The 17,972-nt window shown below is 41.2% G+C and overlaps 1 protein-coding gene across 4 annotated transcripts in view; it reads left to right on the top strand.

The window, feature by feature from the left end:
* WDHD1 (WD repeat and HMG-box DNA binding protein 1) overlaps positions 1-17,972 on the top strand; it is an 88,151-nt gene that overhangs the window by 52,328 nt on the left and 17,851 nt on the right. For 3 of the 4 annotated variants that reach the window (NM_001008396.3, NM_007086.4, XM_011536373.3), the window contains 7 exons: positions 7,378-7,492; positions 8,166-8,297; positions 11,600-11,820; positions 11,919-12,034; positions 12,221-12,274; positions 17,137-17,180; positions 17,568-17,738. In NM_001008396.3, coding sequence (NP_001008397.1) covers positions 7,378-7,492; positions 8,166-8,297; positions 11,600-11,820; positions 11,919-12,034; positions 12,221-12,274; positions 17,137-17,180; positions 17,568-17,738 — 853 coding nt within the window. The remainder of the gene's footprint in view (positions 1-7,377; positions 7,493-8,165; positions 8,298-11,599; positions 11,821-11,918; positions 12,035-12,220; positions 12,275-17,136; positions 17,181-17,567; positions 17,739-17,972) is intronic. The other variant, XM_006720012.2, reaches the window with a different exon arrangement.

Raw genomic sequence — 17,972 nt, 5'->3', positions numbered from 1 at the left:
CACTGCAACCTCCTCCTTCCGGGTTCAAGTGATTCTTATGCCTCAGCCTCCCAAGTAGCTGAGATTACAGGCATGTGCCACCATGCCCAGTTAATTTTTTGTATTTTTAGTAGAGACAGTGTTTCGCCAGGTTGCCCAGGCTGGTCTCGATCTCCAGAGCTCAGGTGATCTGCCGGCCTTGGCTCCCAAAGTGCTGGGATATTACAGGAGTGAGCCACCACGCCTGATTATTTTGGCATTTTTAAACTCTTTCTTTAATATAACAAAAAAAAAAAAAACAAAACAAAACAGGTTTTGTGGTCAATTTGAAAACAAATTGAAGTAATTTTTTTTTTTTTTGAGACAGAATCTCTCTCTGTTGCCCAGACTGGAGTGCAGTGGCGTGACCTCAGCTCACTGCAACTTCTGCCTCCTGGCCTCAAGCGATCCTCCGTCCTCCGCCTTCCGAGTAGCTAAAGCTACAGGTCCATGCTGCCATGCCTAGCAAATTTTTTGTATTTTTTGTATTTTTTTGTAGAGACGAGGTTTTGCTATGTAGCCCGAGCTGGTCTTGAGCTCCTGAGCTCAAGCGATCTGCCTACCTCAGCCTCCTTATGTACTGGGATTACAGGCATGAGCCACTGTGCCCAGCCACTTTTGTCTTTTTAGTAAACCAGGTTTTTCATTGTTTTTTTTTTTTTAAATTCCTCTTCCAGGTGGTTTATGCACATAGTTTCCAGGAAACTCCGTCGTCATCAAAACCCACCAAATTAGCAGTTTAAATGTGTTTGTTTTTTCCTTGAATTCTTCTATGACGGGGATATTTAACAGAGAAAACATCTTTTTAGTTGAAGTCTCTAAAGCTAAGGAAAGGATAAAAAAATGCGAATTGGTGCTCTGCTTTGATGTAAATGTGGCTTAGAAAGTAACTTAATAAAATCCTACTCAGTATTTCCTTTTTCTTTGTGATAATTGCTTACTATGTGTAAATCAATAAAGTGAGCTGTAAAATGTTTTTAAACAGGACATTTTAGAAAAAAATGTTTAGGCAATTAACATTTCTCACAGTGTTTCTTCTAATTTTGTTAATGTACATATATATGTACCTGGACTCATCTTTTGTGAATGCACATGCTCTTTTTCATTTTGCATGACTAGTAAAGTAGTGATTCTTGTAAATAGAGATTTATGACAGAATTGCCACAAGATTCTTTCAAACTTGAGGTATTCACACTGCCACCTCATACTGTGTGGTGAAAACTAGATTTTTTATAAAATCATAAAAGGAGAGAAGGAAGAAATAAATGAAATTGTATGTTCAAAAAAATTAGAACCCTAAAAACATTTGTATTTTTATTGTATAGTCAGAAAAAAAAGAAGGGAGGGTATTTGAATCTCACAAGAAAGGGGCCTGAGTAGTTTGAAAAAGAATACTAGACATTGTCACTTACTTGTTTTCTAATTACTCTAGTGGGCATTTGATAATACTGGAAGATATTTATAAAATTTTTAAACCCTAGGGTCTAGCTTCTACTTAGTATCTCCCTTCAAGAATGTCCTGATTAAAAGGCTATACTATAAATTAAGTGGATGATTATTAGTAAGCATTCAAAAAGAGATTTCGTCTTTTTAAATGACTTTATGAAAATATGAAATTTGCCTGTGGTATTTATAGTGTGCAGTCATGGTTTTCCAGTGCTTTTCTAATAAATAAATCGGAGTACATAAGTTGAAAGAGTTCTATATATATATAAATCATTCTGTGATTAATTAATGCTTTTTAATAAATCAGCTGCGAGAGCACTACTCATGATGGGCGTGTTTGAATGCCTTATATAGACTACTCAGAACAGGTTTAGACAGTCTTTGCCCCGTTGACCTGTTACCATATTTATCAGAGTAGATATAGATTATAGTCTTTCTAATGATGTTCTGCTTCACTCTGACCAATATCTAATAAACACTTAACCTATATTAGGCATTTCACCATCTTTCTGTCTCTCTTTTTTGGAATGGAGTCTTGCTATGTTGCCCAGGCTGGTCTCCTGGCTTAAGTGATACCCTTCTGTCTCAGCCTCCTGAATATCTGGGATTACAAGTGCCCACTACCATGCCTGATTTTTTTCTCTTTTTTGACAACTCATACCGACAGTACTAAGAATTCCCAAACTGATGGATGAAAGTGAATATGCCTCATTGGCATTTTTTTTTTTTTTTTTTTTTTTTTTTTTTTTTTTTTGTGACAGTCTTGCTTTATTGCCCAGGCTGGAGTGCAGTAGTGCAATTTCCCAGGTTCAAGAGATTCTCGTGCTTTACCCTCCCGAGTAGCTGGGATTACAGGCGTTCACCACCACACCCAGCTAATTTTTGTATTTTTAGTAGAGATGGGTTTTCACCACATTGGCCAGGCTGGTCTCGAGCTCCTGGCCTCAAGTGATCTGCCTGCCTCACCCCTCAAAGTGCTGGGATTACAGACATGAGCCACCATATCTGGCCAACTTTTTTTTTTTTTTTTGGTGAGACCGAGTCTCACTCTGTCTCCCAGGCTGGAGTGCAGTGGTGTGATCTCGGCTCACCGCAAGCTCCGCCTCCCGGGTTCACCCCATTCTCCTGCCTCAGCCTCCTGAGTAGCTGGGACTACAGGCGCCCATCACCACGCCTGGCTAATTTTTTAAAATATTTTTAGTAGAGACAGGGTTTCACTGTGTTAGCCAGGATGGTCTCGATTTCCTGACCTCGTGATCCACCCGCCTCGGCCTCCCAAAGTGCTGGGATTACATGTCTTGCCATGTTGCCCAGGCTGGTCTGAAACTACTGGTTTCAAGTGATCCACCCACCTCAGCCTCCCAAAGTTCTGGGATTATGGGTGTGACCCACCGTTCCCAGCCTTGTATGTCTTCTTTTGAAAAGTGTCTGTTCATGTCCTTTGCCCACTTTTTATTGGGGATATTTGTTTTTTGCTGCTGATTTTTTTTTAAGTTCCTTATAGACTCTGGATATCAGATCTTTGTTGGATGCATAGCTTGCGAACATTTTCTTGCATTCTGTGGGATGTCTTTTTTTTTTTTTTTTTTTTTTTTGAGGCAGAGTCTCATTCTGTCACCCAGGCTACAGTGCGGTGGTGAGATGAGATCATGGCTCACTGCAGCCTCGACTTTCTGGGCTCAGTGATCCACCTCAGGATCTGCAAATGTCTTTCCATTTGTTTGTGTCATCTATGGTTTCTTTCAACAGTGTTTTGTAGTTCTTGTAGAGATCTTTCACCTCCTTGGTTAGATATATCCTAGGTATTTTGTGTGTGTGCATATGGCTATTGTAAATGGGATTGCACAAGACTACAGGCACATGCCACCACACCTGGATAATTTTTAAATTTTTTTGTAGAGACAGGTCTCCCTTTGTTGCCCAGGCTGGTCTCAAACTCCTGGGCTCAAGTAATCCTCCTGCCTTGGCCTCCCAAAGTGCTGGGATTACAGATGTGAGCCATTGCACCTGACCTGTTTACTCTTGGTAGTTTCTTTTGCTGCGCAGAAGCTCTTTGGTTTAATTAGGTCCCACTTGTCAATTTTTGTTTTTGTTGCAATTGCTTTTGTGGACTTAGTCATGAAATATTTACCAAGGCCAATATCCTGAAGGGTATTTGCTAGGGTTTCTTCTGGGATTTTTATATTCTGAGGTCTTACATTTAAGTGTTTAATCCATCTTGAGTTAATTTTTGCACATGGTGATAGTTAAGGGTCCAGTTTCATTCTGCATGTGGTTAGCCAGTTATCTCAGCACCATTTATTGAGTAGGGATTCCTTTCCCAGTTCCTTGTTTTTGTCAGCTTTCTCAAAGATCAGTTGGTTGTAGGTGTGTGGCTTTATTTCTGTGTTCCCTATTGTGTTCCACTGGTCTGTGTTTCTGTTTGTGCACCAGTGCCATGTTCTTTTTCACTAGCCTTGAAGTAGAGTTTGATGTTGGGTAATGTGATGCCTCCAGCTTTGTTGTTTTTGTTTTAGATCCTTTGGCTATTTGGGCTCTTTTTTGGTTCCATATGAATTTTAGAATAGTTTTTTCTAATTCTGTGAAAAATGACATTGGTAATTTGATAGGAATAGTGTTGAATCTATAGATTGCTTTGGGGAGTATGGTCTTTTTCTTTCTTCTTTCTTTCTTTTTTTTTTTTTTTGGTGCTGTGACTTCGATGCAAACCAAGGTTGCTGCAGACACAGTATGGTCATTTTAATGATATTGATTCTTCTAATCCATGAGTGTGGAATGTGTTTCCATTTGTTTGTGTTATCTGTGATTTCTTTCAACAGTGTTTTGTAGTTCTTGTAGAGATCTTTCACCTCCTTGGTTAGATATATTCCTAGGTATTTTATGTACATGTATGACTATTGTAAATGGGATTGCATACTTGATTTGACTCTCAGCTCGAACATTATTGGTGTATAAAAATGCTACTGATTTTTGTATATTGATTTTGTATCCTGAAACTTTACCAAAGTCTTTTATCTAGGAGCCCTTTAGCAATTCTATGTATAGAGTAATATAGTCAGTGGAGAGATATTTGACTTCTTTTCCTATTTTGGTATCTTACTTGATTGTTCTGGCTAAGATTTTCAGTACTCTGTTAAATATGAGTGAAAAGAGTGGCCAACCTTGTCTTATTCCAATTCTTAAGGGTAATGCTTCCAGCTTTTTCCCATTCATATGGTGTTGTCTGTGGGTTTGCCATAGATGGCTCTTTTTATTTTGAGTTATGTTCCTTCAATGCCTAGTATGTTGGAGGTCTTTATTATGAAAGGATGTTGAATTTTATCGAAAGCTTTTTCTGCATCTATTGAGATGATCATGTGGTTTTTGTTTTTAATTCTGTTGATGCAGTGAATTGCATATATTGATTTGCATATGTTGAACCAACCTTACATCCCAGGAGTAAAACCTACTGGTTGTGGTGTATTAACTTCCTAAAGTACTGTTGGGTTTGGTTTGCTAGTGTTTTGTTGAGGATTTTTATATCTGTGTTCATCAAGGATATTGGCCTGTAGTTTCTCTTTTTGATGTGTCTTTGCCAGATTTTGGTATCAGGATAATGCTGGCTTTATAGAGTGATTTGGAGAGGAGTTGGTATTTTGGAATATTTTCAGTAGGACTGGTACCAGTTCTTTGTGCATCTAGAATTCAGCTGTGATTTTTCTGGTCCAGGGCTTTTTTTGGTTGATAGGTTTTTTATTTATTACGATTCAATTTTGGAACTCATTATTGGTTTGTTCAGAATTTCTGTTTTTTCTGAGTCAGTCTTGGGAAGTTTTATGTTTCCAGGAATTTATCCATTTCCTCTAGATTTTCTTTGCTGTGCAGAAGTTCTTTAGTCTAATTAGGTCCCACTTGTCAGTTTTGGTTTTTGTTGCAATTGCTTTTGAGGACTTTCTCTTTCTCTCTCTCTTTTTTTTTTTTTTTTCTTGAAACGGAGTCTTAATGCTGGGCGCGGTGGCTCACGCCTGTAATCCCAGCACTTTGGGAGGCATAGGCGGGCGGATCACAAGGTCAGGAGATCGAGACCACGGTGAAACCCCGTCTCTACTAAAAATACAAAACATTAGCTGGGCGTGGTGGTGGGCACCTGTAGTCTCAGCTACTTGGGAGGCTGAGGCAGGAGAATTGCGTGAACCTGGAAGGCGGAGCTTGCAGTGAGCCGAGATCGTGCCACTGCACTCCAGCCTGGGCAACAAAGCGAGACTCCGTCTCAAAAATAAATAAATAAATAAATAGAAACAAGGTCTTACCTAGGCTGGAGTGCAGTGGCATGATCATGGCTCACTGCAGCCTCAACCTCCCAAGCTCAATTAATCTTCCCATCTCAGTCTTCTGAGCAGCTGGAGCTACAGATACACACCACCACACCTGGCTAATCTTTAAAAATTTTTGTAGCAATTGGGTCTCATTTTGTTGCCCAGGGTGGTGTCAAACTTCTGACCTCAAGTGATTCTCCCACCTTTGCCTCCAAAAGTATTGGGATTACAGGTGTGAGCCCATTTCCTCTAAATTTTCTGGTTTGTGCACATAGAAGTGTTCATAATAGTCTCTGAGGATCTTTTGTATTTCTGTGGAATCAGTTGTAGTGTCACCTTTGCCATTTTCTGATTGTGCTTATATGGAGCTTCCCTCTTCTTTTCTTTGTTAATCTAGCTAGGAGTTTATCGATCTTGTTTATCCTTTCAAAAAATCAATTTTTTTTGTTTTATTGATCCTTTGTATGGATTCTTTAGTCTCAATTTTGTTTAGTTCTGCTGTTATTTTAGTTATTTCTTTTCTTCTGCTAGCTTTGGGGTTAGTGTGTTCTCGTTTATCTAGTTTCCCTAGATGCAATGTTAGATTGTTAATTTGAGATCTTTCTAACTTGATATAGGTGTTTAGTGCTATAAACGTTCCTCTTAACATTGCTTTTGCTGCATCCCATATATTTTGATATGTTGTGTCTGTTTTCATTTATTTCAAAGAATATTTCAATTTCTGCTTAATTTCATTGTTTATTCAAAAGTCATTCTGGAGTATGTTGTTTACTTTCCATGTAATTTGTGTGGTTCTGAGAGATCCTCAGTATTGATTTCTATTTTTATTTTACTATGGTCTCAGAATATATGCTTGGTATGATTTCAATTTAAAAAAAATTTTTGAGACTTGCTTTACGGCCAAGCATGTGGTTGACCTTAGAGTATGTTCCATGTGCAGCTTCATCAGCATTTATCTTGGTGATAACATGGATTCCATGACAGGTATTAATGGTACAATTTTTATGTTTTAAAAGTGGTAGTTTGCTAAGGAAAATATGAAGAGAGCTGATTTCACTTTTAGTGGTTGTCATTTAATAAAGTGAGATGTGAGGTTGGGCAGGGTAGCTCACGCCTGTAATCCCAACACTTTGGGAGGCAAAGGTGGGAGGCACACTTTAGCCCAGGAGTTCGAGTCCAGCCTGGGCAACATGGCAAAACCCCATCGCTACTGAAAATACAAAAGTTAGCCAGGCATGGTGGCATATATCTGTAGTCCCAGCTACTTGGGAGGCTGAGGTGGGAGGATTGCTTGAACTTGGGAGGTTGGGGCTTCAGTGAGCCGTGATCACACCACCGTGCTTTAGCCTGGGCAACACAGTGAGACCCTGTCTCAAAAAAAATAAATCAAGTGAGATGTGAGAAGGAATTTTTCTATTCTTGAAATGCATGTAGGGATAGTCTTTATGCCTAGTCAAGCCTAAAACACTTTTTTAAAAAGAGATATTTGTTATATATGATTAAGGCAGCTATTATAATATTACTATTCTAAGTTACTAACTTTTGAAAACTTTTTAAATTTTGTAGTTTTTATGACATGTTAGTAAATTTTTATGATGGAACTTTTCTTTACTAACAGGTGCATTCCTTGTAAAGGTTCTCGGTTTCCCCCAACCCTTCCACGCCCTGCTGTTGCTATATTATCCTTTAAGCTTCCTTACTGTCAGATTGCAACAGAGAAAGGACAAATGGAGGTATGTGGAAGTCTTACCTTGACACTTTGAATTTGATAATACAGCACCTGTGATACACACACTTTAAAATTATCCTGATGGCCAGTATTGAATATTCATTACTGTATAATTACATAAATAGGGGTAGCAGGGAGGGAAGAGGACTGCTTGGGATCACCAGGCCACCTGATTGCCATCACTGCTTCCAGGGACTTTGTCTACAAAGTAAATGGGTGTGACTGTCAGAGACCCACTGGGGAAAGACTTACTCTCAGGATGGGGCATGTCCCTGAGAAGAAGTGCCTCCATACATTTTGTGCCATAACACCTGGCTTGCCTGACCCTAGTCCTAGCCTTGTGTCATCAAAAGTCATTTGAAATCTTGCAGTTAGTTATTCTAAATAAGAAACAAGTTAGCTTTTAAAAATCTTGTTTACCAAATTCTCTGAGCATTAATTATGATAGCTAGGAAACTGTTTTAAATGCTGTATTCCTCCCCAGCTGCCTTTTTTAAGGATAGGGGAAAAAGTTAAGCTGTAGTATCACACTAGAATTTAAATTGTAAAATAAACTTATAGAAAGGAAGAGTTCAGAACATATTTTATTCAAAAACTGGTATCTTAAGATAAATATTTAACGCTTGCCTCATATTAAGGTGATAGTTGGCCTTAAGCAATTTTATTTGCTTTTATAGGAGCAATTTTGGCGTTCAGTTATATTTCACAACCACCTTGATTATTTAGCTAAAAATGGTTATGAATATGAAGAGAGCACTAAAAATCAAGCAACAAAAGAGCAACAGGAACTTTTAATGAAAATGCTTGCGGTGAGTAAAATAAATATACTGAAAACGTTAAAGTTAAATGCTTTTCTATAGGTTGAATTTCTTAAAGGTCTGTGCATTAGGACTAAGTCCCACAACCTAAGATTCTTAAGTTTTTTTTTGTTGTTGTTGTTGTTTTTTGTGCGACGGAGTCTCGTTCTGTCACCCAGGCTGGAGTGCAGTGGTGCGATCTCGGCTCACTGCAACCTCTGCCTCCCGGGTTCACGCAATTCTGCCTCAGCCTCCCGAGTAGCTAGGATTACAGGCACACACCACCACGCCTAGCTAATTTTTTTTTTTTTTTTTTTTTTTTAGTAGAGATGGGGTTTCCCTATGTTGGCCCGACTGGTCTCGAACTCCTGACCTCGTGATCCGCCCGCCTCAGCCTCCCAAAGTGCTGGGATTACAGGTGTGAGCCACCACACCCAGCCATTCTTAAGTTTTATCTGGTGGTGTTTTCCCTTGTAAAGTTCTATCTTCTAGTTGGTCTTGCAGTTAAAATTTTTTTCTTTTTTTTTTTTTAGGCGGAGTTTCGCTCTTGTTTCTCAGGCTGAAGTGCAGTTGTGCAGTCTTGGCTTACTGCAACCTCCACTTCCCGGGTTCAAGTGATTCTCCTGCCTCAACCTTCCGAGTAGCTGGGACTACAGGCGTGTGCCACCATGCCTGGCTAATTTTTGTATTTTTAGTAGAAACAGGGTTTCACCACATTGGTCAGGCTGGTCTTGAACTCCTGACCTCAGGTAATTCACCTGCCTCGGCCTCCGAAAGTGCTGGGATCACAGGCATGAGCCACCGTGCCCAGCCTAAAATAAATAAAACAGTACCTTGTAGCTAAGATCATGTGCAGGAATAAACATCTCTAGGGCTACTTCCCTTTTGCTTTTGCCCATCAGTCTATGTTTTAACGGGCTCTCAAGGTAACTGAGAACCACTGCTCTAGTTTCTGTTATTATTTTACAAAGTTTGAGTATATACTGTTTTTTAATCTCCAGGGCTGGGCAATCTTAAGAACTTTGATCGGGCTGTTAGATATGCCTGCCTTTTGTCATCCTCTTTGAGTTAGGCAGCTGTGTGTGATGAAAATTTATTTGTGACCAGTGGCCAGGTTTGGTGTCTAGAATATTTAAGTACATTTATCTTTGGAGCAGGGTGTCTTAAAGTTCCTGTGCTTGTGTCCCCACTCAAGGTTGGTTTATGGAGAGGAGTATAGTATCATTTCTTCTTTATTTGTCTTACACTAGACTTTATGCCCCAGAGGGCAGAGACCTGCTCACTGCTGTATGCCAGGCACTGACATGGTGGCTTAACACATAGTAGACCTCGATATTTGTTGACAAGAGTGAATGGTCCAGACTTTTAATTTTAAAATTGGAGAAAAAAGGTTCTTAGAGAAAAGTGGTATATGAGACCACAGAGCAAATTGCCACTCTTGTCTCCAAAAGGTAGTACTCACTACTGTCACCTTTATGCAACATGGCCTTAAGTTTGGTATTAAGAAAACTCAGTTTATTGTAGAAAAAGTTTTATTCCTTTTATAAAGTGTTACTTGTGGTCCAGGAACTAGTAGCCTTTTTATTTGTACAACACATATAAGGAAACATATTTCATGTATTTGCTATTTAGCCTAGAGGAGCTTTTCCCTGTGGCAGTGTTTCTCATATCAAAAATACCAGGGGACTCATATCAAAGATGCCAGGGCAGGAGGATATCTTGAGCCCAGGAGTTCAAGGGGATTGTTGAGTTCTTCTTTAGCATTCCTGACCCCCGGGCAAATGCCTTTAGTTCAGAATAGTCACTGTGGAAACCAGACTATTCCTTTTTATTTCTTTTTTTTTTTTTGAAACGAAGTCTCGCTCTGTTGCCCAGGCTGGAGTGCAGTGGCGCGATCTCTGCTCACTGCAAGCTCCGCCTCCCAGGTTCACGCCATTCTCCTGCCTCAGCCTCCCGAGTAGCTGGGACTACAGTTGTCTGCCACCACACCAGCTAATTTTTTGTATTTTTAATAGAGACTGTGTTTCACCGTGTTAGCCAGTATGGTCTCGATCTCCTGACCTTGTGATCCACCTGTCTCAGTCTCCCAAAGTGCTAGGATTACAGGTGTGAGCCACTGCGCCCGGCTTCCTTTTTATTTCTAAATGCCCCCTGAGGCAGTGTACCATCCCGATTAAGAAGTACTGATTATAGATAAATGATACTAAAAATCTTGAAAAGGGCATCCAGGTGAATATCTAAAGCTTTTGTGCTGATGGATCAGACATGGAATATCTAAGTAAGAAAATAGTTCTAATACACTATGAATTAGGAGACCCTTAGTAATCTTCAAAATACCAACTTTTCTCAGTTTGTTGTTTTTCTTTTTTGTATTTTTTAGAGAAAGGGTCTCACTCTGTTACCCAGGCTAGAGTACAGTGGCAAGATTGTAACTCACTGCAGCCTCAACCTCCTGGGCTCTAGTGAACCTCCTGTCTCAGGCTCCTGAGTAGATAAGACTGCAGGTGCATGCCACCACGCCCAGCTAATTTATTTTTTGTAGTTATAGGGTCTCACTGTGTTGCCCAGGTTAGTCTCAAACTCCTGGCCTCTAGCAGTCCCTCTGCCTTGGCCTTCCAAAGTGCTAGGATTACAGGTGTGAGCCAGCACACCTGGCCCCCTTGATTTTTTTTTTTTTTTTTTTTTTTGAGACAGAGTCTCGCTTTCTCGCCCAGGCTGGAGTGCAGTGGTGCAATCTTGGCTCACTGCAACCTCCACCTCCCGGGTTCAAGCGATTCTCCTGCCTCAGCTTCCCGAGTAGCTGGGATTACAGGCGCACGCCACCACGCCTGGCTAATTGTGTTTTTAGTAGAGACGGGGTTTTGCCATATTGGCCAGGCTGATCTCGAACTCCTCACCTCATGATCCACCCATCTGGGCCTCCCAAAGCACTGGTATTACAGGCGTGAGCCACCGTGCCCAGCCTCCCCCTTGAATTTTTTAAACAAATTTCTTAATTTTCTTGCAATTAGTAGATTAAAGTGGTATGTAATATTTCATCAAATCTAAGCCACTGTTTATTGCATAGTGCACCATTACTTTATTCATTTAAGCCATGGAGACATAAAAATGCTGCCAAACTGACCCACCATTAATTGTAATTAATTGTAATTCCAATTTCAGAGATGTTAAAACTTGTAAAAATGTGCATCTTAGAATTAGGGAGATAGAGTAGCTAGAAAACTATTGTCTCAGTTTTACTAGTAGTGTCAGTATCTTTAAAAAGTTTTACTTGATGTTATTTGATCTCCCCCCCCCCCCCCTTTTTGGATTAGCTTTCTTGTAAACTGGAGCGAGAATTCCGTTGTGTGGAACTTGCTGATCTAATGACTCAAAATGCTGTGAATTTAGCCATTAAATATGCTTCTCGCTCTCGGAAATTAATACTGGCTCAAAAACTAAGTGAACTGGCTGTAGAGAAGGCAGCCGAATTGACAGCAACCCAGGTGGAAGAGGAAGAAGAAGAAGAAGATTTCAGAAAAAAGCTGAATGCTGGGTAAGAAATAATTTAGTTGTTTGAATTTTCCTTTACTGTCTTGAATGTTAAGTTGGTCTTTGCATAGCTCTTTATTGAATAATATTATTTTCTCTTAGTTACAGCAATACTGCTACAGAGTGGAGCCAACCAAGGTTCAGAAATCAAGTTGAAGAAGATGCTGAGGACAGTGGAGAAGCTGATGATGAAGAAAAACCAGAAATACATAAGCCTGGTGAGATACATTTTCAAGCCCATAAATCATGAGAACTATCATGGATGTGGCTTTTCCCATTTTGCTTAACTGAGGGAAATTGAATACTCATACTTTTTTTCAGACCTCTTTGCTATCTGGTTGTTGTATATTGAGGATGACTATATTTTCCCCATTTACATTATATTGCTTTATTTTAATCTGTAGGACAGAACTCGTTTTCCAAAAGTACAAATTCCTCTGATGTTTCAGCTAAGTCAGGTGAGAAATATTTATAAATTTGTAATATCAAGGAAATTTTGCAAGTCATCTGCAAAGTGACACATCTACGCAAATACACCTTAACTCTTAAGGCCACTTTTGGTGTGTGTGTGTTTATGTTTTTGTTTTTTTAATCTCAGATGTTGTTTGTGAAGCTATGGTCATTTAACAGATGTTTATAAAATGCCTATTGAGTGTCAGGCATTTTACTTAATGGTGGATACAGAAGTCAAACAGACATGTGTGGTTGATCTCTGTTTTAATGCTATTTTAGCCCAGCTGAGAAGACAGATGTTGAAGACAGATCTGGGTATCACTGAGGAAGCATGCAGGATACTGGAGAAACAGTTAAAAGGAATTGAAGGCTGGGCGCAGTGGCTCACGCCTGTAATCCCAGCACTTTGGGAGGCCGGAGTGGGCGGATAACGAGGTCAGGAGTTCTAGACTAGCCTGGCCAACACGGTGAAACCCCATCTCTACTAAAAATACAAAAATTAGCTGAGGGTGGTGGTATGTGCCTGTAATCCCAGCTACTCGGGAGGCTGAAGCAGGAGAATCACTTGAACTCAGGAGGTGGAGGTAGCAGTGAGCCGAGATCGTGCCATTGCACTCCAGCCTGGGCAATGGAGTGAGACTCCATCTCAAAAAAAAAAAAAAGGAGTTGAAAATGGTTGCGTACAGGGAGTGGGCCTGGGGGATAAGAGAAGGTTGAAGTAAGGCACTGCTGGCCCTTTTTTGGTGGGGAGCATAAACCTTATAGTACCATTTGACTTTTTAAACTGTGGACATATGTTACTTTGATTTAAAAAAATTAACTTAAAAAACATGTAGAATATGAAAAGAGCGTATGACACATAGCTGTCATCTAGCCAGTGGTGGAGGATGGGTAGGGACTTCAAGGCAGGCCTCATGGAGTGTTTACAGCAGAGACCTGAAGGATGAATAACAGTCAGCAAGGCAAAGGTGCATGGGAACAGGAGCAGAAGAGAAGCATTTGGGCTTAAGGAACAGTATGTGTGAACTGAAGGCTGCAAAAGGGTGGTGTGAAAAGCTCAGAGAGCAAAGAGAAAGTGGTGCTGAAGGGTTTCGGAGTGATGGGCAGGAGCCAAGTCATGCAGATCTGTGTAGGCCATATTAAGGATTTTGGTCTTTTTTTTATTTTATTTTATTTTTTTTAATAGAGATGGGGTGTCACTCTGTTGTCCAGGCTGGTCTCAAACTCAAGCAATTTCCTCACCTCCACATCCCAAAGTTGTTGGACCTGCAGGTGTGAGCCACCACACCCGGTCAGGATTTTGCTCTTTATTCTAAGGTCACTGAGAGACTGTTGTAGGTTTTAAGCAGAGGTATAGCATGGCACACTGTGCTGAAGAAGAACAGATAATAGACTACTGGCCAGGTGTGATGGCTCATGTCTGTAACCTCAGCATTTTGAGAGGCCAAGGTGGAAGGATCACTTGAGACCAGACGTTTGAGACCAGCCTTGGAAACAATGAAACCCTATCTCTACAAAAAGTAAATAATAAAAATATTAGCCAGGCATGGTAGTACACACCGGTAGTCCCAGGTATTTGGGAGGCTGGGACAGGAGGATATCTTGAGCCCAGGAGTTCGAGGGTGCAGTAGGCTATGGTTGCACCACTGCACTCCAGCCTGGGTGACAGAGCAAGACCCTGTATCAAAAAATAAATAGGCCAGGCGTGGTGGCTCACGCCTGTAATTCCAGCACTTTGGGAGGCCGAGGCAGGTGGAGCACTTGAGGTCAGGAGTTCAAGACCAGCCTGGCCAAAATGGTGAAACCACATCTCCACTAAAAATACAAAAAAAAAAATTAGCCGGGCATGGTGGCTCATGCCTGTAATCCCAGCTACTCGGGAGGCTGAGGCAGGAGAATTGCTTGAATCCAGGAGTGGGGAGTTGCAGTAAGTGGAGATCACGCCACTGCACTCCAGCCTAGGTGACAGAGTGAGACTTCATCTAAAATAATAATAAGAAGAAGTAAATAAAAATTAAAAAATAAAGAGACTACAAGCTGGGCGTGGTGGCTCACACCTGTAATCCCAGCACTTTGGGAGGCTGAGGAGGGTGGATCACGAGGTCAGGAGATTGAGAGCATCCTGAAGAACACAGTGAAACCCCGTCTCTACTAAAAATACATAAAAATTAGCCGGGCATGGTGACAGGCACCTGTAATCCCAGCTACTTGGGAGGCTGAGGCAGGAGAATGGCGTGAACCCGGGAGGCAGAGCTTGCAGTGAGGTGAGATCATACCACCGCACTCCAGCCTGGGCGACAGAGCGAGACTCCATCTCAAATAAATAAATAAACAAACAAACTACAGAGGCAGTCCAAATGAGATTGAATAAGGGCCTGAGCTAGGGTGGTGATGGTGATGTTAGAAAGAATGGGCAGAGTTGGAGAGCTATTTCTGAAGATGATGAAGAGAGTGTAGGAGTTCAGGGCGTAAAGAGTGATTCTCAGTTTCTTGTAATAGAAGAAAAACTTAAGCACATTTGAATCTTGAAGGATTAATTTGAACATTCAGTGATTCATGAATCAGGGAGGCACCAAACCGCAAGGGGCTAGCACTCTGCCAGGAGAGACAAAAGGGGAAACTTTTATAAAGTATTTTCAGAAACGAGATAAATAAAACAATTTTTATTGGCTAGATGGAAAGGTTTTTTTGTTTGTTTTTTTTGTTTGGTGGGGGGGGTGCGGATACAGGGTATCTTGCTTTGTCACTCAGACTGGAGCAGAGTTGGAGTGCAGTGATGCAGTCCTAGCTCGCTACAGCCTTGAACTCGTATGCTCAGGTGATCCTCCTGCCTCACCCTACTGAGTAGCTATGACTACAGTTGTGCATCACCATGCCTGGTTAATTTTTTGTGTGTACTTTTTGTAGAGAGAGGAGCTTGCTTTGTTGCCGAAGCTGGTCTGGAACTCCTGGGCTTAAGTGACCCTCCTGCCTTAGCCTCCCAAAATTTTCGGATTACAGGCACAAGTGGCCATGCTCAGCTAGAAATTTCCTGCCTGCCTGCCTGCCTGCCTGCCTGCCTCCCTCCCTCCCTTCCTTCTTCCCTCCCTCCCTCCCTCCTCTTCCCCCCGCCAGGGTGTGACTGTCATCCAGGTTAGAGTGCAGTGGCGTGATTATGGCTCACTGCAGCCTCAACCCCCCAGACCCAAGCGATCTTTCCACCTCAGCCTCCCAAGTAACTAGGACCACAGGCATGTGTCACCATGTCTGGCTAGTTTTGTTTTGGTTTGGGTTTTTTGTTTTGTTGTTTTTTGTTTTTGTAGAGACAGGGTCTCCCTATGTTACCCATGCTAGTCTTAAACTGGGCTCAAGCAGTCCTCCCTCCTCAGCCTCCCAAAGTGCTGGGATTACAGGCTTAAGCCACCATGCCAGGAAAGCTCTTAATTAGAGATTAGTTTGTTAACACTGGCTTGAGTACTTGAGTGAATGATGGTGCCATTTCCTAAGTCAGGAAACACTAGAGAAAAGCAGATTTAGAGAGGAAGATGATGAATTACTGTAAGGTGAGTAGAATGTCGTGAAGACAGATATTTGAATCAGGAGCTCAGGGAAGTATTCTGGTCAAGAGATACAAAGTGAAAATCATTGGCATAAGTATAGCAATTTAAACCATGAGCATGGGTAAGCAAGCATTGGGGGAGAATGTAAAGCAAAAAGAAAAATGAGCTTAAGCCTAGGGAATCTCCAACATTTGAGCATCAGGTAGAGGAAGAGGAGGAACCAACTATTGGAACACAATGAGTCCACAGGTCCAGAGAGGAAGGAACTAAGTCAGGGAATGCAGTATCTCAGAAGTCAAGAGAGGACAAAGTATCAAGAAGTAAGGAACAGTCAGCTATGTGGGATGCCATTGATAGAGCAAACAAGGTGACTGAAAGGTATCCACCAGATTTGACAATGTAGAGATCACTGAGGGCCTTAGCAAGAGGAGATTCTGTAGGGTGGTAGAGCTGGAAGTGCTATATTGTATGGAGGAATGTATGGGTGGTGAGGAAATGATAATAGTGTCAACAGTTCTTGGAAAAATTTGGCTGGATGACCGGGCGTGGTGGCTCATGCTTGTAATCCCAGCACTGTGGGAGGCCAAGGCAGACGGATCACCTGAGGTCAGGAGTTCAAGACCAGCCTGGCCAACATGGTGAAACCCTGTCTCTATTAAAAATACAAAAATTAGCCGGGCGTGGTAGCAGGCGCCTGTAATCCCAGCAATTCGGGAGGCTGAGACAGTAGAATCGCCTGAACCTGGGAGGTGGACTTTGCAGTGAGCCGAGATCACACCATTGCCCTCCAGCTTGGGCAACAAGAGCGAGACTCTGTCTCAAAAAAAAAAAAAAATGGCTGGATGGAGGAGGCGAGAGAAAATGGTGACTGGAAGGAATGTGGGGTAGAGAAGGTTTGTTTTTTGTTTCTTTTTAAGTTGGGAGACTTTAGGGGCCAATAAATAGGGAAAAGTCAAAGATGTAGGATGTCAAGAAACTTGATAGGTCAGGTTTTCTGACAAAGCAGGAGGGCATGGGATGCAGAACACAAGTAAAGGGATTACTAACCTTAGCTCAGACGAGCTGCCACTCTTCCGCAGTAACAGAAGATAAAAGATCTGTACATACTGAATATGTTTCATAGTGGCACGTTGGGGTGGTTCACATTTAATAGCTTTTATTTTGGCTTAGAAGTAGGAAAGAGGATATCTGTTGTTAATAGTTTTGAAAAGTTGCAAAATACATTTGTTTTCATTTAATGGGGATTAAAATACTCTGTCTAGTATTATAGATGTCAGAAGTCATCTATTTTCTACCATTATTAAGCAAGGGTTTCTTTTTTGTGAAAGGTGCAGTTACCTTTAGCAGCCAAGGACGAGTAAATCCCTTTAAGGTAAACTCTTCCAAGTGATGTTTTATATTATTTAAATACATTTGTATACAAAGAAATATTTCCAAATGATGAGATGACTCTCCCCAGACTTGGAGGCATGAAAGACTGATCTGTGTGGAAACAGAAGAAAGCAGCACTTGGGCTGAGAGTTGTCTTTTCTACTTACCTTCTAAGTACCTATGGTTTTGAAAGATACCTCTGTCTTTCTTGGGGATGTGGTATTTGGGAATATACGTATCATTCTTAATTTGGATTGTACCAAATGTATTTAGTTCTAAAGATGAGATGGCAATACAAACTTAACAGAAATTTCAAGAAAAAATAAGTCTCTTGGGATTTTATTTTTCTTCTTTAAACATACAGTGCTAACACTAGTTTGCTCTTTAGGTATCAGCCAGTTCCAAAGAACCAGCCATGTCAATGAATTCAGCACGTTCAACTAATATTTTAGACAATATGGGCAAATCATCCAAGAAATCCACTGCACTTAGTCGAACTACAAATAATGAAAAGTCTCCCATTATAAAGCCTCTGATTCCAAAGCCGAAGCCTAAGCAGGTACTGTTTCAGCTACCCTCATCTGCAGTAAGCAGCATGGGATCTGTTTGTCTTCAGTTTTGTTCACTGTTTCAGATATAGGATAGGAGGTTCTGATTGTTTACAATTGTCTTGCTAGGGAAGTGGGTTCAATTCTGTTTTTGCAGCTAGGCACAGTGGCACATACCTGTAGTCCCAGATACTCAGGAGGCTGAGGTGGGAGGATCACTTGAGCCCAGGAGTTTGAGTCCAGTC

Source organism: Homo sapiens, chromosome 14, assembly GCF_000001405.40.
Source record: "Homo sapiens chromosome 14, GRCh38.p14 Primary Assembly".
NCBI lineage: Eukaryota > Metazoa > Chordata > Mammalia > Primates > Hominidae > Homo > Homo sapiens.
Note: the sequence above shows the minus strand (reverse complement) of the source record. Positions and strands in the feature narration are given on the sequence as shown.